The following is a 26,037-nucleotide window of genomic DNA, read 5'->3' as shown; positions in this document are numbered from 1 at the left end:
AATGGTATTTCTGCCTCTAGATCTTTAAGGAATTGGCACACTGTCTTCCACAATGGTTGAACTAATTGACACTCCCACCAACAGTGTATAAGGATTTCTTTTTCTCCACAATCTCACCAGCATCTGTTGTTTTTTTGACTTTTTAGTAATAGCCATTCTGACTGGCGTGAGATTGTATCTCACTGTGGTTTTTGTTTGCATTCCTCTAATGATCAGTGATAGTGAGCTTTTTTTCATATGCTTGTTGGCCATAAGTATTCTTCTTTTACAAAGCATTTGTTTCAGTCTTTTGCCCACTTTTTAATGGGGTTGTTTGTTTATTTATTATAATTTAAGTTCCTTGTAGATGCTGGATATTAGACCTTTGTCAGATGGGTAGATTGCAAAAATGTTCTCCTTTTCTATAGATGTCTATTTACTCTGACAATAGCTTTTTATCCTGTGCAGAAGCTCTTTAGTTTAATTAGATGCCATTTGTCAATTTTTGCTTTTGTCATAGTTGCTTTTGGCATCTTCATCATGAAATGTTTGCCTGTGCCTATGTCCTGAATTGTATTGCCTAGGTTGTCTTGAGGGTTTTTATAGTTTTGGGTTTTACATTTACGTCTTTAATCCATCTGGAGTTGATTTTTTTATATGGTGTAAGAAAGGGGTCCAGTTTCAATTTTCTGCATATGGCTAGCCAGTTCTCCCAGCACCATTTATTAAATAGGCAATCCTTCCCCCATTGCTTGTTTTTTTCAGGTTTATCAGAGATCAGATGGTTGTAGGTGTGTGGTCTTATTTCCAGTTCTATTCTGTTCCATTGGTCTATGTGTCTGTTCTTGCACCAGTACCATGCTATTTTGGTTACTGTAGCCTTGTAGTGTAGTTTGAAGTCGAGTAGTGTGATGCCTTCAGCTTTCTTCACGTTTAGGATTGTCTTGGCTATTCAGGCTCTTTTCAGGTTCCATATGAATTTTAAAATAGTTTTTCCAAATTCTGTGAAGAATGTCAATGGTAGTTTAATGGGAATATATCTATAAACTGCTTTGGGCAGTATGGCTATTTTCACAATATTGATTCTTCCTATCTATGAGCATGGAATATTTTTCTATTTCTTTGTGCCCTCTCTGATTTATTTGAGCAGTGGTTTGCAGTTCTCCTTGAAAAGGTCCTTCACTTCCCTTGTCACCTGTGTTTCTAGGTATTCTATTCTTTTTGTGACAATTGTGAATGGGATTTCATTCCTGATTTGTCTCTTGGCTTGACTGTTGTTGGTGTATAGGAATGCTAGTGACTTTCACACATTCATTTTGTATCCTAAAATTTTGTGAAAGTTGCTTCTCATGTTAAGAAGTTTCAGGCTGTGACAATGGGGTTTTCTAGACATAGGATCATGTCATCTGCAAACAATGATAATTTGACTTCAACTCTTCCTGTCTGAATACAATTTATTTCTTTCTCTTCTCTGATTGCCCTGGCCAGAACTTTCAATACTGTGGTTAATAGGAGTGGTGAGAGAGGGCATCCTTGTCTTGTGGTGGTTTTCACGGGGAATGCTTCCAGATTTTGCCCATTGTATGATATTGGCTGTGGGTTTGTCATATCTGGCTCTTATCATTTTTAGGTGTGTTCCTTCAATATCTAGTTTATCAAGACTTCTTAGCACAAAGGGATGCCAAATTTTATCGAAGTCCTTTTATGTATCTATTGAGATAACCATGTGGTTTTTGTATTTAGTTCTGTTTATGTGATGAATCACATCTATTAATTTGCAAATTTTTTTTTTACTTTTTTATTATTATACTTTAAGTTCTAGGGTACATGTGCAAAACGTGCAGTTTTGTTACATATTTATACGTGTGCTGTGTTGGTTTGCTGCATTCATCAACTCGACATTTACATTAGATATTTCTGCTAATACTATCCCTCCCCCAGCCAGCCCCGGTGTGTGATGTTCCCCGCCCTGTGTCCATATGTTCTTATTGTTCAACTCCCACTTATGAGTGAGAACACGTGGTGTTCGGTCTTCTGTCCTTGTGATAGTTTTCTGAGAATGATGGTTTCCCGCTTCATCTATGTCCCTGCAAAGGACATGAACTCATCCTTTGTTATGGCTGCATAGTATTCCATGGTGTATATGTGCCACATTTTCTTAATCCAGTCTATCATTGATGGACATTTGGGTTGGTTCCAAGTCTTTGCTATTGTGAATAGTGCCACAATAAACATATGTGTGCATGTGTCTTTATACTAATATGATTTATAAACCTTTGGGTATATACCCAGTAATGGATGGCTGGGTCAAATGGTATTTCTAGTTCTAGGTCCTTGAGGAATCTCCACACTGTCTTCACAATGGTTGAACTAGTTTACACTCCCACCAACAGTGTAAAAGCATTCCTATTTCTCCACATCCTCTCCAGCACATGTTGTTTCCTAACTTTTTAAGGATCGCCATTCTAATTGGTGTGAGATGGTATCTCATTGTGGTTTTGATCTGCATTTCTCTGATGACCAGCGATGATGAGCATTTTCTCATGTGTCTGTTGGCTGCATAAATGTCTTCTTTTGAAAAGTGTCTGTTCGTATCCTTTGCCCACTTTTTGATGGGGTTGTTTGATTTTTTTCTTGTAAATTTGTTTAAGTTCTTTGTAGATTTTGGATATTAGCCCTTTGTCAGACAGGTAGATTGTAAAAATTTTCTTCCATTCTGTAGGTTGCCTGTTCACTCTGATGATAGTTTCATTTGCTGTGCAGAAGCTCTTTACTTTAATTAGATCCCATTTGTCAATTTTGGCTTTTGTTGCTATTACTTTAGGTGTTCTAGTCATGAAGTCCTTGTCCATGCCTACCTCCTGAATGGTATTGCCTAGGTTTTCTTCTAGAGTTTTTATGGTTTTAGGTCTAACATTTAAGTCTTTAATCCATCTTGAATTAATTTTTGTATAAGGTGTAACGAAGGGATCCTGGTTCAGCTTTCTACGTATGGCTAGCCAGTTTTCCCAGCACCATTTATTAAATAGGGAATCCTTTCCCCATTGCTTGTTTTTGTCAGGTTTGTCAAAGATCAGATGGTTGTAGATATGTGGCATTATTTCTGAGGGCTCTGTTCTGTTCCATTGGTCTATATCTCTGTTTTGGTACCAGTACCATGCTGTTTTGGTTACTGTAGCCTTGTAGTATAGTTTGAAGTCAGGTAGCATGATGCCTCCAGCTTTGTTCTTTTGGCTTAGGATTGTCTTAGCTATGTGGCCTCTCTTTAAAGTAGTTTTTTCCAATTCTGTGAAGAAAGTCATTGGTAGCTTGATGGGGATGGCACTGAATCTATAAATTACCTTGGGCAATATGGCCATTATCAACATATTGATTCTTCCTACCCATGAGCATGGAAGGTTCTTCCATTTGTTTGTATCCTCTTTCATTTCATTGAGCAGTGGTTTGTAGTTCTCCTTGAAGAGGTCCTTCACATCCCTTGTAATCTGGATTCCTAGGTATTTTATCCTCTTTGTAGCAATTGTGAATGGGAGTTCACTCATGATTTGGCTCTCTGTCTGTTATTGGTGTGTAAGAATGCTTGTGATTTTTGCACATTGATTTTGTATCCTGAGACTTTGCTGAAGTTGCTTATCAGCTTAAGGAGATTTGGGGCTGAGATGATGGGGTTTTCTAAACATACAATCATGTCATCTGCAAACAGAGACAATTTGACTTCCTCTTTTCCTAATTGAATACCCTTTATTTCTTTCTGTTGCCTGATTGCCCTGGCCAGAACATCCAACACTATGTCAAATAGGAGTGGTGAGAGAGGGCATCCCTGTCTTGTGCCAGTTTTCAAAGGGAATGCTTCCAGTTTTTGCCCATTCAGTATGATACTGGCTGTGGGTTTGTCATAAATAGTACTTATTATTTTGAGATACGTTCCATCGATACCTAGTTTATTGAGAGTTTTTAGCATGAAGGGCTGTTGAATTTTGCCGAAGGCCTTTTCTGCATCTATTGAGATAATCATGTGGCTTTTGTCTTTGGTTCTGTTTATGTGATGGATTACGTTTACTGATTTGTGTATGTTGAACCAGCCTTGCATCCCAGGGATGAAACCAACTCGATCTTGGTGGATAAGCTTTTTGAGGTGCTGCTGGATTTGGTTTGCCAGTATTTTATTGAGGATTTTCACATCGATGTTCATCAAGGATATTGGTCTAAAATTCTCTTTTTTTGTGTTGTCTCTGCCAGGCTTTAGTATCAGGATGATGCTGGCCTCATAAAATGAGTTAGGGAGGATTCCCTCTTTTTCTATTGATTGGAATACTTTCAGAAGGAATGGTACCAGCTCTTCTTTTTACCTCTGATAGACTTCGGCTGTGAATCCGTCTGGTCCTGGACTTTTTTTAGTTGGTAGGCTATTAATTATTGCCTCAATTTCAGAACCTGTTATTGGTCTATTCATCGAGTCAACTTCTTCCTGGTTTAGTCTTAGGAGGGTATATGTGTCCAGAAATTTACCCATTTTTTCTAGATTTTCTAGTTTATTTGCATAAAGGTGTTTATAGTATTCTCTGATGATAGTTTGTATCTCTGTGGGATTGGTGGTGATATCCCCATTATCATTTTTTATTGTGTCTATTTGATTCTTCTCTCTTTTCTTCTTTATTAGTCTTGCTAGTGGTCTATCTATTTTATTGATCTTTTCAAAAAACCAGCTGTTCAATTCATTGATTTTTTGAAGGGTTTTTTTGTGTCTCTATCTCTTTCAGGTCTGCTCTGATCTTAGTTATTTCTTGCCTTCTGCTAGCTTTTGAATGTGTTTCCTCTTGCTTCTCTAGTTCTTTTAGTTATGTTAGGGTGGCGATTTTACATCTTTCCTGATTTCTCTTGTGTGCATTTAGTGCTATAAATTTCCCTCTACACACTGCTTTAAATGTGTCCCAGAGATTCTGGTACCTTCTGTCTTTGTTCTCATTGGTTTCAAACAACATCTTTATTTCTGCCATCATTTCATTATTTACCCAGTAGTCATTCAGGAGCACGCTGTTCAGTTTCCATGTAGTTGTGTAGTTTTGAGTGAGTTTCTTAATCATGAGTTCTAATTTGATTTCACTGTGGTCTGAGAGACAGTTTGTTGTGATTTCTGTTCTTTTACATTTGCTGAGGAGTGCTTTACTTCCAACTATGTGGTCAATTTTGGAATAAGTGCAATGTGGTGCTGAGAAGAATGTATATTCTGTTGAGTTGGGGTGGAGAGTTCTGTAGATGTCTATTAGGTCTGTTTGGTGTAGAGCTGAGTTCAAGTCCTGGATATCGTTGTTAATCTACTGATTAACTGATTAACAACATTGATCTGTCTAATATTGACAGTGGGGTGTTAAAGTCTCCCATTATTATTGTGTGGGAGTCTAAGTCTCTTTGTAGGTCTCTCAGGACTTGCTTTATGAATCTGGGTGCACCTGTATTGGATGCATATATATTTAGGATAGTTAGCTCTTCTTTTTGAATTGAACCCTTTACCATGATGTAATGGCCTTTTTTGTCTCTCTTTTTTTTAATCTTTTTTATTATACTTTAAGTTCTAGAGTACATGTGCATAATGTGCAGGTTTGTTACATATGTATATATGTGCCATGTTGGTGTGCTGCATCCATTAACTCGTCATTTACATTAGGTATATCTCCTAATGCTATCCCTCCCCACTCACCCCACCCAACAACAGGCCCTGGTGTGTGATGTTCCCCTTCGTGTGTCCATGGGTTCTCATTGTTCAATTCCCACCTATGAGTGAGAACATGCAGTGTTTGGTTTTTTGTCCTTGCAATAGTTCGCTGAGAATGATGGTTTCCAGCTTCCTCCATGTCCCCACAAAGGACATGAACTCATCATTTTTTTATGACTGCATAGTATTCCATGGTGTATATGTGCCACGTTTTCTTAATCCAGTCTCTCATTGTTGGACATTTGGGTTGGTTCCAAGCCTTTGCTATTGTGATTAGTGCCACAATAAGCATACGTGTGCATGTGTCTTTATAGCACCATGATTTATAATCCTTTGGGTATATACCCAGTAATGGGATGGCTGGGTCAACTGGTATTTCTAGTTCTAGATCCCTGAGGAATTGCCACACTGCCTTCCACAATGGTTGAACTAGTTTACACCCCTACACTCCCACCAACAGTGTAAAAGTGTTCCTATTTCTCCACATCATTGTCTCTTTTAATCTTTGTTGGTTTAAAGTCTGTTTTATCAGAGACTAGGATTGCAACCCCTCCCTTTTTTTTTTTTGCTTTCCATTTGCTTGGCAGATCTTCCTCCATTCCTTTATTTTGAGCCTATCTGCATCTCTGCACATGAGATGAGTCCCCTGAATACAGCACACTGATTGTTCTTGACTCTTTTTCCAATTTGCCAGTCTGTGTCTTTTAATTGGGGCATTTAGCCCCAATTAAATTAACCTTACTTTTAACGTTAATATTGTTATGTGTGAATCTGATCCTGTCATTATGATGTTAGCTGGTTATTTTGTCTGTTAGTTGATGCAGTTTCTTCCTAGCATCGATGGTCTTTACAATTTGGCATGTTTTTGCAGCGGCTGGTATCGGTCGTTCCTTTCCATGTTTAGTGCTTCCTTCAGGAGCTCTTGTAAGGCAGGCCTGGTGGTGACAAAATCTCTCAGTATTTGCTTTTCTGTAAAGGCTTTTATTTCTCCTTCACGTATGAAGCTTAGTTTGGCTGGATATGAAATTCTGAGCTGAAAATTCTTTTCTTTAAGAATGTTGAATATTGGTCCCCACTCTCTTCTGGCTTGTAGGGTTTCTGCCAACAGATCTGCTGTTAGTCTGATGGGCTTCCCTTTGTGGGTAACCCAACCTTTCTTTCTGGCTGCCCTTAGCATTTTTTCCTTCATTTCAACTTTGGTGAATCTGACAATATGTGTCTTGGAGTTGCTCTTCTCAAGGATTATCTTTGTGGTGTTCCGTGTATTTCCTGAATATGAATGTTGGCCTGCCTTGCTAGGTTGGGGAAGTTCTCCTGGATAGTATCCTGCAGAGTGTTTTCCAGCTTGGTTCCATTCTCCCCATCACTTTCAGGTACACCAATCAAACGTAGATTTGGTTCACATAGTCCCATATTTGTTGTAGGCTTTGTTTGTTTCTTTTTACTCTTTTTTCTCTAACCTTGTCTTCTCGCGGTATTTCATTAATTTAATCTTCAATCACTGATACCCTTTCTTCCACTTGGATCAAATCAGGTATTGAAGCTTGTGCATGCTTCATGAAGTTCTCATGCCATGGTTTTCAGCTCCATCAGGTCTTTAAAGTCTTCACTACACTGTTTATTCTAGTTAGCCATTCATCTAAGCTTTTTTCAAGGTTTTTAGCTTCCTAGATATGAGTTCAAACATCCTCCTTTACCTTGGAGAAGTTTGTTATTACTGACCTTCTGAAGCCTACTTTTGTCAACTCATCAAAGTCATTCTCCATCCGGCTTTGTTCCATTGCTGGCATGGAGCTGCAATCCTTTGGAGGAGAAGAGGCACTCTGATTTTTAGAATTTTTAGCTTTTCTGCTCTGGTTTCTCCCCCTCCTTGTGGTTCTTATCTGCCTTTGGTCTTTGACATTGGTGACCTACAGATGGGGTTTTGGTGTGGATGTCCTTTTTGTTGATGTTGATTCTATTCCTTTCTGTTTGTTAGTTTTCCTTCTAACAGTCAGGTCCCTTAGCTGCAGGTATACTGGAGTTTCCTGGAGGTCCACTCCAGGCCCTGTTTGCTTGGGTATCAACAGCGGAGGCTGCAAAACAGGAAATATTGCAGAACAGCAAATATTGTTGCCTGATCCTTCCTCTGGAAGCTTCGTTCCAGAGGGGCACCCACCTGTTTGAGGTGTCTATTGGCCCCTACTGGGAGGTGTCTCCCAGTTAGGCTACACGGGGGTCAGGGACCCACTTAAGGAGGCAGTCTGTCCATTCTCAGAGCACAAATGTCATGCTGGGAGAACCACTGCTCTCTTCAGAGCTGTCAGCTGAAGAAGTTGTCTGCTGCCTTTTGTTTAGCTATGCCCTGCTCACAGATGTGGAGTCCTGAGGCAGCAGGCCTTGTTGAGCTGTGGTGGGCTCCGCCCAGTTTGAGCTTCCCCAGCTGCTTGTTTACCTACTTAAGCCTCAGCAATGGTGGATGCCCTTCCCCCAGCCAGGCTGCCGCCTAGCGGTTCAATCTCAGACTGCTGTGCTAGCAGAGAGCAAGGCTCCATGGGCATGGGACCCACCGAGCCCAGCAAGGGAGAGAATCTCCTTGTCTGCCGGTTGCTAAGACCTTAGGAAAAGTGCAGTATTTGGGCAGAAGTGTCCCCTTGTTCCAGGTAGTCTGTCACGGCTTCCCTTGGCTAGGAAAGGGAAATCCCCCGACCCCTTGTGCTTCCCAGGTGAGGCAATGCCCCACCCTGCTTCAGCTCGCCTTCCGTGGGCTGCACCCACTGTCCAACCAGTCCCAGTGACAGGAACCAGGTACCTCAGTTGGAAATGCAGAAATCACCTGTCTTCTGCGTTAATCATGCTGGGAGCTGCAAACTGGAGTTGTTCCTATTCGGCCATCTTACCACACCTCTCCCGGATTCATTAATTTTTTTAAGGGTTTTACATGTCTCTACCTCCTTCAATTCAGCCCTGATCTTGGTTATTTCTTGTCTTCTGCTGGCTTTGGGGTTTGTTTGCTCTTGGTTCTCTAGCTCTTTTAGTTGAGATATTAGGTTGTAAACTTGAGATTTTTCTAGCTTTTTGATACGGGCATTCAGTGCTATAAATTGCCCTCGTAACACTGCTTTCGCCACGTCCCAGAGATTGAGGTACATTGTCTCTTTGTTCTCATAATTTTCAGAGAACTTCTTGATTTCTGCCTTATTTACCCAAGATTTATTCAGGAGCAGGTTGTCCAATTTCCATGTAGTTGTGTGGTTTTGAGCGAATTTCTTAATCTAGAGTTCTAATTTGATTGCACTGTGGTCTGAAAGCCTGTTTATTATTATTTCAGTTTTTATGCATTTCCTGAGGAGTGTTTTACTTCCAATTAGGTGATCAATTTTAGAGTAAGTGCCATGTGGTGATGAGAGGAATGTACATTCTGTTGTTTTTGGGTGGAGAGTTCTGTAGATATCTAGCAGGTCCTCTTGATCCAAAGTTGGGTTTGGCTCCTGCAAATCTTTTTTAGTTTTCTATCTCGATGATCTGCCTAATATTGTCAGTGGGGAGTTAAAGTCTCGCACTATTATTGTGTTAGAGTCTAAGTCTCTTCAAAGGTCTCAAAGAACTTGCTTTATGAATCTGGGTGTTTTTGTATTGGACACGTATATATTGAAGAAAGTTACCTCTTCTTGCTGAATTGAACCCTTTACCATTATGTAATGCCCTTTGTCTTTTTTTGTCTTTGTTGATGTGAAGTCTGTTTTGTCTGAAACTAAGGTTGTAACCCCGCTTTTTTCTGTTTTCCATGAAATACTAATCCACTTTTTACATTGTCTAATTTATTAACTTTTTCTTAACAATTGATATCAAGAAGTATAATTGTTGCATTTCTTGTGCTTTGGACTTCTTTAAAAAAGAGATGATTAATATTTTTTCTATATTTTCCATTTATTAAATGCAAAAGTAAAACCTCCATATTTAATAATCAATGTTCTCTGGCCTTTCTTAGTTAATGACATAAACCTCCCACTTTATGAAAATTAAATACTCTCCTTATTTTCATTCAATGATAAATCTCATTGACACCTGGAATCATAATCTAATGGATATACATACTTCCTTTCACCACCTGAACTGTCTTTAGGCTCAGGTAAGAGGGAACACGGACCTGAGCTCTGCACTTTTTAGAGCCAGTTTCTAAGGCCTGCAAAGAGTTTGGACAGGTGGACCAAGTTGAGCATATATGTGGACGTAAGTCCCTCACAGAGCCAGCAGTAGAAAGAAAAATGGGTAAGCCACCTCATTTGAGCATAGAACCTCATGGAGTCTGAGATCCCTAACTTTAAATCTGGCCTTTCTAATAATTATGAAGGTCAATTTGTAAAAGAAATAGGATAAAACATATTTTATTCAACAATCTGTTAGTTTGATTTGTAACTTTAAATATTTAGACATCTGGGCCTCCATTTTACTCATCCCCTGTTCCTATGATGTAAGGAGTAGACAGGACAGCCACCATCCTCCATGTCATGTGCCAGACATGAGGCTAAGGGGACACATGGAAAGGTGAACAGTGAAAATGTATGTAAGTCACTTTAAAAATAAATTGATTAGGAAATTAATTAACAGATATTCTCTACTTTGTTTTTACATTCCTTCTGTTAAATTTTTAAGTCCATCTTCAAAACAGAGCTAAACAGAACTTGCTAGTCAATTTCCCTGTTAGTCAATGCCTGTTCTAGGAATAGTGGGCCCCAAACCCCCTTCTGAATGGACAGGGGGCTGTGTTATCCCTCCTCCCCTTGGCCTAGTTTACTAGATGATTGTGGGTAACTTGTCTGAGCTGGACAAATTATGATTTGTCCCAAAATCAGTTATAAGGATACAAGAATTCTAGTTTATCTCTGATGGGCAGTTCACTTAAGGGATACAGTGCCAAGGTGAGGTAGCTAAGTCAGGCTCATGAGCAAATGGAACAGAGGAAGGGTATCTGGAAAAACAGAGAATCATAAAGCAGACTTACACAAAAAGATGCTTAGCAGAGAGTCCTTACAGCCCACAATAAAGAGGGAAAAAGAGGGAGAGAAGCTGCCTTGATTTCTGCTGCTTTCCAAATCCTGCTTCCAGACCTAGTGAATGGCAGCTGTATTTTCTCCTTTGAATTCTAAAAGGATTCCCTTGTATACTTACAACTTAGGCATTTTACTTATGCTAACTTAAGTAGTACTTAAGAACAGTCATCTTTCAATAAAGAGCAAATAGGTTTTGCCATGTCTAATTCTGTAATTCTATGATGACATTTTGCATACAACTCATATGCAGAAATAAAGTTAAACCAAACTTTTACCTTCATGAGAATCCTATAATGTAGGTACTATTATTATCACTGTTGTACAAATGAGAAAGCTGAGGCACCAGAGAAGTTAAGTAACTTGCCCAGTGTCATCCAATTAATGTTTAATGTCATTCAGTTAGGATTCAAACACAGCTCCAAAGATCCCTGCACGGCTCCAAAGATCCCTACTCCTAAGAATGATAATTTACAGCACATCAATCATTTTTCTATGATTCAAAATCATCATATTTTAGAGAAAGCTTATGATAACTCATAATTTATTTAGAAGTTACATTAAGCAGAGTAAATAAAACAATACAGCCATTAGAAGGAACTTGAGAAAACCATAAGCATTTCGAATTATGAGCTTAATATGCAGATTTAAAATAACAAAACCTTTAACCTTCTTTTACAGAATGCCTCATTGACCATCCTTTCTCGGAGGAGTTATAAAGAAGATTGATATATTATAAAATCATTATGAAAATTAGGAGATTTATTTTAATTTTCCAATGGATAAGCAAACATGAACTAGACAGTAATGAGACAAAATATTTATTAAGCACTCAAGAGACTCTGAGTAACAGTTCTTGCACAGCTGAGAATCTTTTTGCAATTTAAAATAATTTCATATATAGTCTTCATTCCTCTGTAATATATATTTAGTTAAAACATAAGAAGCTAAGACTATTATGTGATTAAATTAAAATTTTAATGGTTTTTTAAACTAAAATTAATATCATTTTAAGATAAAACCAAATATAATACCTAAAATTAAGCTTTAAAATTTTAATGACCAACAACATAGCAATAATTAGCAGTTCTGTGTTTTGGACCATTAAGAATTAGACAATAATAGTCTGCCATTTCTACTCTGAACCTAACTCTGTAAGGCACAGCAGAAAACAAGGGAAAAACAGCTGTCACAAAGAGTGTACAACCTGGCTTGAAAAACAAAAGGTACTCACATGAAACAAGTGCAGGGTAAAAATAAGAGTATTCTTTGTTATTTATTTGTGCCTTAAACCTATTAAAAATTAGCTGAGTCAACTTTAAATGGCAGCATATAATCTAGCTGTATATTATATGGTATAAAATATTAGTCCAACAGAGAAAATAGATAATGAGGATTAAGAGTCAAAGAAGGTGTCTTGTAGCAAGAAAATAAATCTTTACCTTATCCTTACAAGATGAGTATTTCAATAAACAGAAAGAAGAGAAAGGTCAACATTTAATTATAGAGAAGCATCATAGACATCAGTTTGGAGACAGGCAGTATTATGTTGTGATTGTTCTCCCAACATCCATTCCTGGCACCATTAGCTCCATGGGTAGGAGCTAATGATCCCAGTTCTAGGAATGAGTCCTACACTGGCCCCAGGTAATTGGTAATTCCATTCTTCATCCCACAGTCACTGGACCAGATTTTCTAGGCCTAAGCCAATTAGCACACTGTGTCAACTCATCTGAGTGGTTCAAAAGGAAGACTTTTGATCCTGATGTAGGAAGGAAGGCTTTCTGTCACATTGATCATAAATGAAGCAGTATGTGGCCCTACTAGGAACAAGCAACCATTCTATGACATGACAGGATAGAAGGCAGAACAAACAAACATTTTTTTAAAAAAGCTTGAGTTGCTGGTTATTATAATTATTCTCAAGTATTGAAACACAAAAAGTGTGATTCTTCATAATCATGGCAAATAGAGATGCTTTCTACCAAAGAAGTATTGTCAGCATATGGTACCACTGATTTGTGATTCTGTTTACAGTCCCTAAAATGTGGCATCTATAAAGAGGAATTTTGCTTTCCAGTTGCATAATACTCTTGTTGATAACATATATCAACAATGAAGAAAATACAGAGAGGGATTTGCAAAACGCTTCTATTGTGTATAATATGTACAACCTATTGACTTCAATGATCATCACTTCATTAAAAGTGTAGCAAGTTTTTATCTCTATCTCAAAGATATTTTGAGAGTCAGAGATTATAAAAGTGGTATGTTATGATAATATCCAATGATATTTCAGGAAGAATATAAGCATAATTGCACTAAAATGAAAATCACTACTAAGCCAGTAAATGACCAAATTTATACTCTTTTTCAAAAAATAAGTTTTATTAATGTGTTTTAGTTTCTAAAACACCCAGAATACTACTCATAATGCTGCTTTAATCAATCAGAGTTTCTCTGAATCATTTTCTTTCCTAACACAGTCGGAACATTTGGAGTGGCACAGCGTAAACAAAATCAAAATAAAAGAGTAAGTTTATATAACTCCTATTTCAAATAAGTACAATGTAAATAATCCATATTCTTTTGATTTAAAGTCAGTTACAGTATTAATTCACCTAGCTAAATTTCTTATTTTTCCTTTGAAATCTAAATAGTCCCTTTACTACTTGCAGTCAGTAGTATCTAACTGAAATTTAGGTCACCCTACAGCCCTCTTTTTTTCCCCTATTCTAGTTTCCAAATCTCTAAGTTTTATCATTTTAATTTCAGTCAGCACAATATATACATGCACAAAATCAATACTCAATTTGATAGATACAGGACAAATTTTAACCAACTTTATCTCAATCAAACCTTTTCCCAAATGTTATCTTTCTTTTAAATACCCTCTAATGCTCAATGTTTTAAAGTTCTTTTCATTTTGCTCCCAATACCTCTCTTCACATTGTCAACAATAGCTTGCACATTTTTTCTTATTTTTCATTTGGAAATTTTGGGCATTGAATAAGCCACAGCAATTGATTCTTTTTTCACCTAAATTACAACTTGAAACTTTTTTTTTTTAATGTGTAGAAATAACGTCTTACAACTACAAACAATGCTACTTAACCCTCACATGCCAACAGCTCTGGTTTATTCAACTTTCATAATATACTTGCTTTTTGAATAAATTTTAAAGAGAAATTTTAAAAATTCAATAATAATTTTTTTTCAATCTCTAAAATCAGTAGTTTTTCTAAACTTCTGAAGTAATCTCCTCAACATATTAAATCTAAACATTATAAGAAATGGTAACCTTATTTTTTCTAAAGATGTTTATAGAGATTTTTGCTAAACTTCCAAAAATGTCACCCAACAACTTGTTAATATAGCAAAACCAACTTTATTTGGAATTTCTGCACTAAAGGAGAACACCATCTTGAGAAAGTTTTAGCAGTATCTCAAAAGAAGGCTATCAGCACTGAGATTGTTATAAGATGGTGAGGTCTGAACCCAGGTGATTTAAGGTAGGTCTTTCAAGACAGGGAACTGATTAGGATTGGATAAAAGTTTTTGGTATATTCATTTAGGATTAGTAGACATAGCACAGTGAGGGTCTTGAAGCAAATCTTAAAAAATAAGCCCTTGTTTGATAAGTGAGCAGTTCTCCCAGGTCACCAGATGCCCAGGTCACCAGATTATGTCCAATAAATTGGTCTGTAGGAAAGTTCTGAAACAAACAGTGAATTTATATATTGGTTTATAGTTTTATCTCTCCCAGACAAAATTTTCCTGGAACAAACAACTAGGTCAGGTCGACATAGTCTAAAATCTTACCAAATTCCTGTTGATGCAGATGGTCTTGTTTCTCAATTCTCCATCATGGTCATTCTTCAGCCTGATCTGGAAAACAGATGGTTATCACATGGGGGAGATGATTACATAGATGTTTGTACAGTCATCATTACATACCTGAATTCTGTTGGTGGTCATTTCAACCACTGCATACACCAGGTTTCCTTGTTCTTTTTGTTGGATTATCATTTGATGGAACAGTGGTTATGAAAAGCATTTAAGATGCTAGAGATTACACATTTGAACATTGTAGTACCACTGTGAAATACCAAGAATACTATGAACAGATTCTGTAATCTACACATAAGCCAAGAGCCAGGGGTGGCCAAACTAAACTAAATCCAGAAAACAGACTGCATCCACCAAAAAGCCTATAGACTAAATATGTGCATTTTAGTCAAATTACCTAATTTTATAATGTTCTTATTGGTTTCCTGGACCTTCTTATCAATATTAAAATTATCAGAAATATCTATGGGGGTAAAAAGAATATTCTTTTTCCTAAAATGGTACACATAATACCTCTACAGTCCACTTATGTCTATGGACTCTATTTTTGAACAGAGAAGTTGTTCTATTGATTTCTATGAACTTACTGACATTGTCTAACTCTCCTTTCAATATCTGAACCATAACATGTTAATATTTTCCCCATCATCCATGCCTCTAATAAAAAGTGATATAAAGAGGCTTGAAAGCAGAAGAAAACCATCTATAATTTCCCTGTGTAGTTACGGTTTCATATCTTAGTAAAGACATAGTTATTTTCTTCTTTGAAACAAGCTGTGTAGTTACCTTTTTCTGAGAAGGAAAAATAGCAATCAAAATGTAGCCAGAGTGATAGCAAAGACTACCTGAGTAGCCTGACACAAGCATTAATTTACAAAGATAAGCTCCTGTCTAAGTTACTGATAATATTCAAAAGGCTTTTGTGCCACAGATTCAATACCTGTGGTAGGGAGCTTCCCAAATAACAAGCTCTCGGCCAAAATACCCCTTCATTGACGCTAAATTGTATTGTATGGTTTTGACACTCTTTAGAGATAATTAGGTGCCAGATAGGAGAACATGCAGTAAGGATGTCATGAAATAGATGAAATGTTATATTTTATAAAGAATCCAAAGATTTACCTACATAGGAAACCTTGTTGGTAAAGTCTGTAAACATGAGAGACAGGTATTAAATGCATTCCACATTTTCCCTTTCTGAGTCTAGCTCATTTCTGAGTCTAATTAATCTGAGATGTATATCTGAAGTACAGTCCAAAATTAGTAAAGAAATAGCCAGTCTCATAGTATGACCTTTTAAAAGTCCATGTGGTAAGAGGCAATGACTGCTGGGAGGTGTTAACTTCATTGTCTTAAGGGCCAGAGTGAATAACCTTGGGCAAGGGAGACAAAAAATGTCAGATGATTTTGCAAGTTTGAGTTTTAAAATATGATTAGCCCTACCTAATTTACCTATGGTTTGAGAGTGATAGGCACAATGAAGTTTCTGAGTAAGTACAAAGCTTTACAAAATCTTCTAACAGTCCTAGTAAGATGAGTGTTGTATCACTGGAGGGATTGGAATTCCAGGTTGAGAACACAACAATGTGTTTGATACTCTCAGAACCACAGCTCTCTAGCAAGTAAATATTTCAGCTCACTCTAAGCATTAGCAAATACTGATAAGGACATATTCAAAACCCATAGAAGAAAGTAGGTTATATAGACTCTTTGAAGACGTTGACACGAAGTTCTTGTCCGAATTGGTATGGGTTCTTGTCCATATCGTACATTTATAGACATCTACCAGAGACACCCTCAGCAATCCTAGTAAAAATTTCTTCACTTACATTGACTGACTATAGTGATCAATTTGTCCTTGTTGTAGTAGATGATTTCATGTAAAATTTTTGGCAAGGTTTCAGTTGAGGTCCTCTGGTATCATCAAGTATCTACTCTAAAGTGTCAGAGAATATCCTCTTGAAATTTACAACCAGATTTTTTCCAGTAACTCTTTTCAGTTTCTGGGGTCAATCACTGGCATTCTACAATAGCTTATTTCAACCTTTCAAAAGAATTGGCTTCAAGGATTATCATAGTGCCCAGAATCTTAGTGAGGGCTATCTGCCTGCCATACTGATTATGTAGGCATTTCCTTTAACTCCATGCTATATGTTTTTGCATAGCTTCAACTTTTATGATAGCCAACTGTCAGGAAGTTCTAGAATATTTAAAATTTATTTAATCTGTTAACCATTTCTATCTGGGGTCTTAGTCAGCTCATGCTATCATGACAAAATACCACAGACCGAGTGGATTAAACAATAGAAATTTATTTTCTCACAGTTCTGGAGCCTGGAAATCCAAAATCAGGCTGCCAGCATAGGCAGGTTCTGGTGAGAGCTCTTTTCTTGGCATGTTGATGGAGCCATATTTCTGTGTGCTCACATGGCCTTCCTCAGTAGAGAAGAGAAAGCAAGGTCTCTGGTGCCTCTTTTTATAAGGGCATGAATCCCATCAAAAAGTCTCCACCCTCATGATCTCATCTAAACTTAATTTCCTCCCAAAGGCTCTACCTCCAAAAACCATCATATTAGGCGTTAGAACTTCAATATTTGAATTTTGGAGGGACACAATTCCATAGCAATGGTTAATTGCTAAGATTAAAAACATTTATTAATACGTTGCACCCATTAGGATAGCTGTTGTCAAAAGTATGGAAAATAACAAGTGTTGGTGGGGTTGTAGAGAAATTAGAACCCCTATGCATTGCTGGTGGGAATGTAAATGGTGCTGTCACTCTGGAAAATTGTTTGGCTGTTCCTCAAAAAGTTAAGCATAGAATTACCATATAACCCAGAAATTCCACTCCAAGGTATATACTCCAAAGAATTGAAAGTAGGGACTCAAACAGATATTGTACACCAATGTTCATGGCCGGATTATTCCCAATAGCCAAAAGGTGGAAACGACCCAAGTGTCCATCAACAGGGGAATGGATAAACAAAATGTGGTATAGACATATAATGAAATACTAATCAGACATAAAAAAAGAATGAAATTCTGATACATGCGACCTTGAAAACATTATGCTTAGCGAGATAAGCCAAACACAAAAGAACAAATGCCATGTAATTCCTCTTATATGAGTTACTTAGAATAAGGAAATTGATAGCTATAGAAAGTAGAATACAGGTTACAAGAGCTGGGAGCAGTGGGGAACAGTTAGTGGGTACAGAGTTCCTGTTTGGGATGATGACAAAGTTCTAGAAATAGATAGTGGTAATTGTTGCACAACATTGTGTATGTACTTAATGCCACGGTTATATATACAGATATAGAGTAATATATAGAGACAGACACTACAATTTTTAAAATGTTGTTTCCAAAGCATTCCAAAATTGTAGACTTATCCAGTGGCTTACCTGCTCTGAGGGTATAAATCAACCTTGTCTTTGGCTATTGTCAAGCTCTGGCAAGTGCAAAAAATTCTACCATCAAGGCTAAATTTACTTCTGATTAGGTATATTTTAGGAGTGAATTGATATTTGTCATGGAATACACTGCCTGATATTTTCCAGTTTCAGAGGTAAGAGATGACCCATCAACAAACATTACTGAATCAGAATATTCTAGGGCAATTTATAATAAACCTGTTCAAACATAGTCAGTTATTGAACGAAGCTAAACAATTGTGGGATTACCTTCCTTTGGGTAATGAAAGAGGTTAGTAGGATTTAAAATATTACAAAAATGGACAGAATTGGTGAAGGAGAAAGTAATAAAATTTCAGGAGTTAAGCCTGCTTGCTGAGAAATGGGATGTATTTTCAGTAAGTAACACAGATTACACACCGCAAAAAAAAAAACATCAAGCTTAAGAAAGATCCTAAAACTCAGTCAGTGAAGCCTCCACTTGTTTGGCTGCTGCTGCTGCTTACACAAGATTATGGATCTAGGGAAAGGCTGAAATAAGTAATTTGTCTGTGATTATTCCCATGGCTTTGGATCAGAACACTAAGGGATTTCCCAGAGCATTCATACACAAATAGGTAGAGAGTTTATAATTAGAAAGGCCCATAGTCTGAGGCTTTTGAAGACGTAATTTTATGTCACAAAATGCCTATTAATATATAGATTCCCAGAAAACAGTTTCAGCTACCAAGGACTAAATAAGTCACATAAAGATGAGATGATTTTTTAAAAGCTAGGAATCCATTGCTTGCAGGTGCCAGTGAAAACTAGAAAACCTTTTAATTATTTCTTAGTAATCAGTCTAGGAAAATTTTGAGTGGCTTGTAACCTATCAGTGGTGAAGAATGTACTCCCCTTAAGATAAATTATGTCCCAGATAATGCACTGTGTTTTGACAAAATTGTAATTTTGGGGGGCAGGAAATGATATAACCATTCTGAGCTAGAACATTAAGTAAATCAAAATCAGCCTTCAAGCTCAACTTGTCTTTAGAACATAGCAAAAGTTAGTCAACATACTAAGAAAAATTTGCAGTACTGAAGTTCCTTGTTAAGCACCTGTGAAAAATGGAAGGGTGACTCCATAAACCTTCAACTGCCCAGGTAAATATTTTAACTTTCCTAGGAGAAAACAAACAAATAAACAGGTATTGACTATTTTTAATCTAAAGGGACACTAAAAAAAGCAGAACAAAGTTTATAATGATGGCATTGAAGATTAAATAGTATTGGGATTTGGTACCACAGGAAAGCAGAGATTGACTTTTATTTGGGCTTAAGGTCCTGAACAATCTATATCCTCACCCATTCATTTTCTTGGCTAAATGAATTGGAGTGGTACAAAGACCAGTATAATGTATGACTAATATTCTTTGCCTACTTGGCTTTTAGCTATTGACTTGAGAACTTTCGTAGCTTCTGGTTTTGGAGGATATTATAAAAGCCTTGGATCAATCTGAACCTTAACTAGTTCATCCCCAACAATTCTGCAAATATCAGTAGAATTTTTGCCCATAAAGAATCTAGCATGAAGATCTTCAACCTGGGCTTCATGTAGATACAAAAATACTGGAAAGTCAAAGTTTAGTTTAGCTAAAAATCTATAATCTGATTATCAACAGGGGAATTCTAAAAGACTTGAAGAAAAAGATAATTGGGAGAGTTTTGTTTGTTTGTTTTACTTTCTACTAATTTTGCTGTGAAACTAAAACTGCTCTAAAAGGGAGAATTTTTAATTTAGCAATTCCACAGCTTTTGTAAATCATTCTGGTTTCCTGTGCAATTCAGAGGCTTCTTAAGTAGTAATTCTTATGGCCCATTTAGTCCTTTTTTAATCCAATTTTTGTATATAAGATTACTCTTAACATATAAACCAATTGATATTGATCCAGAAACCTGGGTTTTATGTTTTTAAAGCTATTCTAAATGCTTTTGTAAATTTCTATCTCATCTACAGGTATGAAAGTCTTTGACAATGACTTTCATCTAATACTAGTCTTTTTTTTTCCATATCAGACTGGTATTGTGTTGATGTCCTAACAATGTTTGAGGGAGGCTCAGCTCACATATGAGCATTAAATCCTAACCATGATGCTTATAAATTACAAAAGGATCTAACGCTAGTCTTTTTATGAGTCTTAGGGCTTAAAGTCAACCAGAAAAGATTTGCCTTTTCTAAAGGGAATTTAACTTTCAGAGATGGGTCAGCTTTGGGGGTTTCTGGACACCCAAAAGATAAGAAAACCAGATCAGAAAGAGGAGTAGTGGTAGAGTATAATGGAAAAGCAAAAGATGAAGCAAGACAGTAAGACAAAATCCATTAAGTTCAAGTTCTGATTGGGACTATCTAAAAGAAAGAAATTTCAAGTTTTTCACATTTATTAGCCAAAGAAACTTTTAAGGAAGCAATTTTGGAATCAGAGTTTCTTTTGGGAGTTTCATTATAACAATAAAATCAATGTCCGCCATTGGATGTTTGGGATTTTTTTCCCTTTCTGTTCCAAAGTGCTTCTCAAATAAACAATTTTGTTCATATCGAAAGTTTCTCAAAGTGACTATGATCTAAATTATTCAAGGTGAAATCAGGTCATTTAGAAAGATATTTACAGAAATTGATGTGTAAAAATATGTAAGAGTTAGGAGAATTGACCAGAATGAGGCACAGACTTAGTTTAAAATGAGATAAACTCATGAGAATTCTAGCATCAACCCATCAACAGTATTGTTGATGCACCTTTTGTCTTGGGCCCTCAAATGGTTGGCCTTTACCCTTCTACATCACACAACCTCTCCCTTAGAATCAGTCAACTATACAGACTTCAAAGTCTGTGTAGATGGAAACTTTGGATGAGAGATATCTTCCAGAATCAAGTTCTCATGGGAAGCAAACAAGACAAAACTAAGGAAAATTCTCATTAGACACTAATTGATAATAATGTAAGGCAAAATTTCTCCAAAAGAAACTGATTTAAGTGAAAACTTTCTGCAGTCCTCAGTCCCTGGGTCTGTTCTGAGAAACAGACTTATTCGGGCTTATGCTTATTCACTTTCTTCTTACAGAGTCACACACAGACAAAAACACACACACACACACACACAGAGCAAGGACAAAGATAAAGAGTAGAGTTATGAATAACAAAGCTGATTTTTCAACAAAGATAACAGCTTTCAAATCTGATCAGAAAATAATGAAAGCATTATTATACAATCTCCTCCAAAATTGTATTTCCTGGAAGAGAATATAAACTTAGCATTTCATGACAAAAGGAAAAAAAAAACAGATCAAAATCTTCCTCTCCGGCAGGAAGGTGAAAGAATCTCAGTGGAAGTACTGTTCCTGACTAAAAAATCTCAACCACAGTAGTGAGGTGAGAACTCAACTGAATGTCAGTGGAACTTCCAGATCTGCTCTCTCTAATATGAGAGACCTTAGGTGTGTATGTATACTTCAATTTAAATTTAAAGCAGTTAAAATTAAATAAAATTAAAACTGAGGTCCTTAGTTGACTAGTCATATTTTAAGTGCACATGTGACTAATGACTACCATATTGGATGTTTCTATGATTGCATAAAGTTCTATTAGACATTAGTGTTTCTGATTGTTGAACCCACCAATATCTCACCAAGCAACTTGGTAATCAAATAAATTTATTTGAACTCACTATAACAGGGAAAGCATCCCTTTGAAAGAATCTTAGCAGTGTCTCAGAAAAGAGAAATCAAAATTGTTTCTGGGATTAGGTGTTTAGGGCAAGATTTTTGAGGCAGGAAATTGGTTCAAAATGAACATAGTTTGTGATAGAATAGTTTCAATTTGGTAGACAGCAATGTGAGGGGTTTTGTTTTGTTTCGTTTTGTTTTGAGAAGGAGTCTCGCTCTGTTGCCTAGGCAGGAATGCAATGGCAAGATCTCAGCTCACTGCAACCTTCGCCTCCCGGGTTCAAGTGATTTTCCTACCTCACCCTTCCTAGTAGCTGGGATTACAGGTGCCTGCCACCACACCTGGTTAATTTTTGTTTTTTGTTTGTTTGTTTTTTGAGAAGGAGTCTCGCTCTGTCACCAAGCTGGAGTCCAATGGCGTGATCTCGGCTTACTTCAACCTCTGCCTCCCAGGTTCAAGCTATTCTCCTGCCTCAGCCTCCCAAGTAGCTGGGACTACAGGCGCGTGCCACCACACTCAGCTAATTTTTGTATTTTTAGTAGAGACGGGGTTTCACCATGTTGGCCAGGATGGTCTCGATCTCTTGACCTCGTGAACCACCCGCCTCAGCCTCCCAAAGTTCTGGGATTACAGGGGTGAGTCACCACACCCAGCCTAATTTTTGTATTTTTAGTAGAGACCAGGTTTCACCATGTTGGCCAAACTGGTCTTGAATTCCTAACCTCAAGTGATCTGCCCACCTGGGCCACCCAAAGTGCTGGGATTACAGGCATGAGCCACTGTACCTGACCAATGTGAGCATTTTTAAATGAACTTTGATAAGTAAGCTCTTATTTAACAAACTGTTTCTTCCCAGGTAAGCAGACTATTGTTTCTGATAAAACTGACCTGCAGGAATATCCTGAAATAAACACTGACATTATTTCTGGTTTGCAGTCTTATTTTTAGCAAGCAAAATAAACTGAATCAAGATTAATTAATTCATGTTCACGGCACTCTCATATTATTTAAACACAAAGATAACATGTTCAAAAGTATATTAAAATAGGAAATCTTTTCCCTTCTGTAAAAACAAAATAAAAACATTAAAACTGCACCCCAAAACATTTTCACATTTTAATTTGTAAAATTAATTAATAAAATAGTATCATGAAAGCATCAAGAGAAGAAAAAAATCTATAATAAAATCTAAAATACTAACAATAAGAATAAGCCTCTTATGAGAGTATAGAGTTTGGACTTTCTGCAGACTCTAATTCTAATGGGTCACAACTAAGAAAGATCCATATAAACTAAAATTGTGCATTTAAGGGAATTCCAACCAACTCGATCCACTTTTTATAATTTAGGCAAACTAAATGAAAGCTTCCCCAGACTAGCAGTTATTTAACAACATGATTTTAAGAGAGATATTTCTAACTCAGAGTGCAATCTGCAAGCAAAAGTCAGCTGGAAAGGATTTTTAAAACAGCATCCTCTAAGACCAGTTCTCCACAGATCAATAAATAATCTGAATAAGATATAGAAAAATATTTTTAAATAATAATTAAATGACAATATTGAGAAAACTGGAAAAGATGAAAGTAAAAAGAGGGAAGTAAATCTTACCCCAGAATAGACCTTACAGGTATATGAAGATGTTACCTCTTATCAAGGAGAATCTTTTGTCATTTTACTTATTGAGGTGTTGTAGAATGAAGACGCAAAACAGAAAAATTTAAGAAAATTTTAAGTGTGGCACACAAAAGATCAGATATGATGGAGCACTGCACAAAATGGTGAAGACCAATGGACTAGATGAATGAGGAGTAATAACAGATATAATATAATGTATTAAGATTCTCCAAAGAAACAGGATCGATAGGATATACATAGAACATGAGGGGATTTATTATAGGTATTGACTCACATGATTCTGGAGGCTAAGTCTCATGATCTGTCTACAGGCTGGAGACCCAGGAAAGCCAGTGGTATAATTCACTTTAAAGGCCAAAGAACCAGGAGCACTGCTGTCTAACAGCATCAAAGGGAGGAGATGCATATCCCAAGAAGAGAGAATAAATTCAGTTTCTCCACCTTTTTGTCCTATCCAGGGCTTCAACAGATTTGGTGAGGGAGGATCTTCTTTACTCAGTTTACCAATTCAAGCGCTAATATCTTCAGCAAACACCCTCACAGACACACCCAGAAATAAGGTGCTTTGGTTTTTTTGTTTGTTTGTTTGTTTTGAGACACAGACTTGCTCTGTTGCCCAGGCTAGGGTTCAGTGGCACAATCTCGGCTCACTGCAACCTCTGCCACCTAGGTTCAAGCAATTCTCGTGCCTCAGCCACCGAGTAGCTGGGATTACAGGCATGCACCATGACGCCTGGCTAATTTTTGTATTTTTAGTAGAGACAGAGTTTCGTCATGTTGGCCAGGCTGGTCTCAAACTCCTGGCCTCAAGTGATCTGCCCACCTTGGCCTCCCAAAGTGCTGGGATTACAGGCATGAGCCACCACGTGCAACCAGAAATAAGGTTTTACCAGCTATGTGGGCAGCCCTTAATCAAGTCAAGTTGACACATAAAATTAAACATCACATATACCTTGAAAATAAATATTTTGTTTTACAGTCATATGATGTTCTTAAGAGAAGTTTTGCATCTAGTATGAGAAGAAAAGTGGACAGAGGAATTTCCTTTGGCTGGGGATATAACTGTATTTAGAGAGAAGCTGGTTTAAAAAAATATTATATAGAAAGAAAAACCAGATATGATTTTGAGCCTTGTCCTAGCTTCAGAGGAGGTGGTCAATATAGTTACAGTTACATAAGGATGAAGTGCTGTAAACCAATATGCACAGCCTAAGGTATGTAAATAAATATTCAAATTTGGCTTGTGTCAAGTCTTTCTCTGCAATATCCAGAGATCCAAACTAGTAGTTTTAGAGTGGATCTCAGTGATATTAGCAACTATTAAGTAAGAGTGAAAAGATAAACTGAAGAACTATTCAAATCATTATTTGAATAATATAACTCATTCAATACTATTCAACGGACAGAAGCAATACATTATTGAAATATTACAGAAAAAATTGATCAGTGAAACAAGTGATAAACTTGAGGAACACACATAGAATAATGAAGAAAATGAATATGAATGTGATTTATGAAAGAGATAACATGGTACAAATTTAGAATTAATGGAATCAAAAATAAAACTAAACAGTGATACCTATAAATGTTTTTTAAAGAACTGCCGGGTCTGACTCGCAGACCCTGGTTGAGTGATGGATGAAAAAATGTATGCAGATACAGGTTTTTTTGCCTGGCCGTGTAGCTAGGGGACAGGGCCACTCACAGACTTCCAAGAGGATGCCGTGAAGAGTCACAGCGGCTGCAGCCTCGACAAGCCGACAAGCCGGCACTGCGGGCATTTTATGAAGTACAGATTTAATGACAAAGGCCTTGAGTTAACACACTTGTGGGTAATTAACATGGTCACCCCCCACCCACCTTCCAGAGAGAGCAGTCCTGCACATGGATGATTAAAGGCCAGGTTCTGAGGCCCAAGTAAACTAACTTATCTAGATCAATTTCCTTACACTTCCTTATTATCTACTCTGACAGAATTCAGTTGCCTTCAGCCAAATCCTTACCCAAAGCTTTTGCAAAACCTCCCAGCCTTCCAAGAAGGTTTGCGTCTTTTCCTTATAATTTTTATAACTTTTCCCACACAACCCTGACTGAACTCCTACATCTCCCCCTTTTCTGTCTTTTGCATCAGGTTTAGTTGATTGAAGAGAGCAAATGTGTGAAACAACAGGTTTGTCAGGTGCAGCGGTTGTAACTCGTACTGCAACTTTGCATGCCAGAATTAGCAAATAACATAAGACAAACGTGAGTATAATTAGCAACATTCTTCTCCAATCAAGGAGTGATCCCCCCACAGGAATAGGGGTCTATCCAGGAGAGATGATCTCACACACCCTTCCATATGCCTGTTTGTTGGGCATGTAGATCTATGGCGTTTAGGGATGCTAGAATTTTAGTTTTAAGTTACTTTACATCTGCTGTTAAATTATCATGAAAGGTTCCCCAGAGGTATTGTTTCACCTCATCCCAACTATGTATTGATTGATTCCAAAGTAGAGAGGTGACACAGATGTGCTTAAGCTCCTGGTCACAGTTCAATTGCTGTTGGAAGGCCAGTGCATCTCGTTGCTCCCCCACATATTCCAAGGCAGCCTTGAGGGCTTGCAGACATGTGAGAATCTTTTGATCTATACCCCACTGTAAGAGAAGTTCATTAGACACATTTCTGACCAAATTATCTACAAAAGTAGCTGTTTGTACTGATTCCGTAATAGATGC

The 26,037-nt window shown here is 37.2% G+C and overlaps 1 long non-coding RNA gene and 1 other non-coding gene across 4 annotated transcripts in view, besides 2 other annotated features; both read right to left on the bottom strand.

Moving 5' to 3' along the window:
- LOC107984041 (uncharacterized) overlaps positions 1-26,037 on the bottom strand; it is a 367,164-nt gene that overhangs the window by 271,325 nt on the left and 69,802 nt on the right. For 2 of the 3 annotated variants that reach the window (XR_007059692.1, XR_002956381.2), the window contains exon 3: positions 14,545-14,610. This is a non-coding gene — a long non-coding RNA (uncharacterized LOC107984041). Of the gene's footprint in view, positions 1-14,090; positions 14,438-14,544; positions 14,611-26,037 lie in introns of those variants that run through there. The other variant, XR_002956382.2, reaches the window with a different exon arrangement.
- Positions 8,029-8,323: an enhancer, noted in NCBI's record as "tiled region #1689; HepG2 Activating non-DNase unmatched - State 12:CtcfO, and K562 Activating DNase unmatched - State 4:PromP". NCBI's record gives its function as "activates a minimal TATA promoter and a strong SV40 promoter by Sharpr-MPRA in HepG2 and K562 cells {active_cell/tissue: HepG2 | K562}" and the evidence as "EXISTENCE:reporter gene assay evidence [ECO:0000049][PMID:27701403]".
- On the bottom strand, positions 20,033-20,136 carry LOC124901545 (small nucleolar RNA U13). Its single transcript, XR_007059976.1, has one exon. It is a non-coding gene; the product is annotated as a small nucleolar RNA U13 (small nucleolar RNA).
- Positions 24,869-25,389: an enhancer, noted in NCBI's record as "NANOG hESC enhancer chr6:101399783-101400303 (GRCh37/hg19 assembly coordinates)". NCBI's record gives its function as "activates a minimal SCP1, AML or CMV promoter by ChIP-STARR-seq in primed H9 embryonic stem cells {active_cell/tissue: H9 hESC(primed)}" and the evidence as "EXISTENCE:reporter gene assay evidence [ECO:0000049][PMID:30033119]".

The sequence above is a fragment of the Homo sapiens genome, chromosome 6, assembly GCF_000001405.40.
Source record: "Homo sapiens chromosome 6, GRCh38.p14 Primary Assembly".
Classification (NCBI taxonomy): Eukaryota; Metazoa; Chordata; class Mammalia; order Primates; family Hominidae; genus Homo; species Homo sapiens.
The sequence above is the reverse complement of the archived record's forward strand: the minus strand, read 5'-3'. Positions and strand labels throughout refer to the sequence as shown.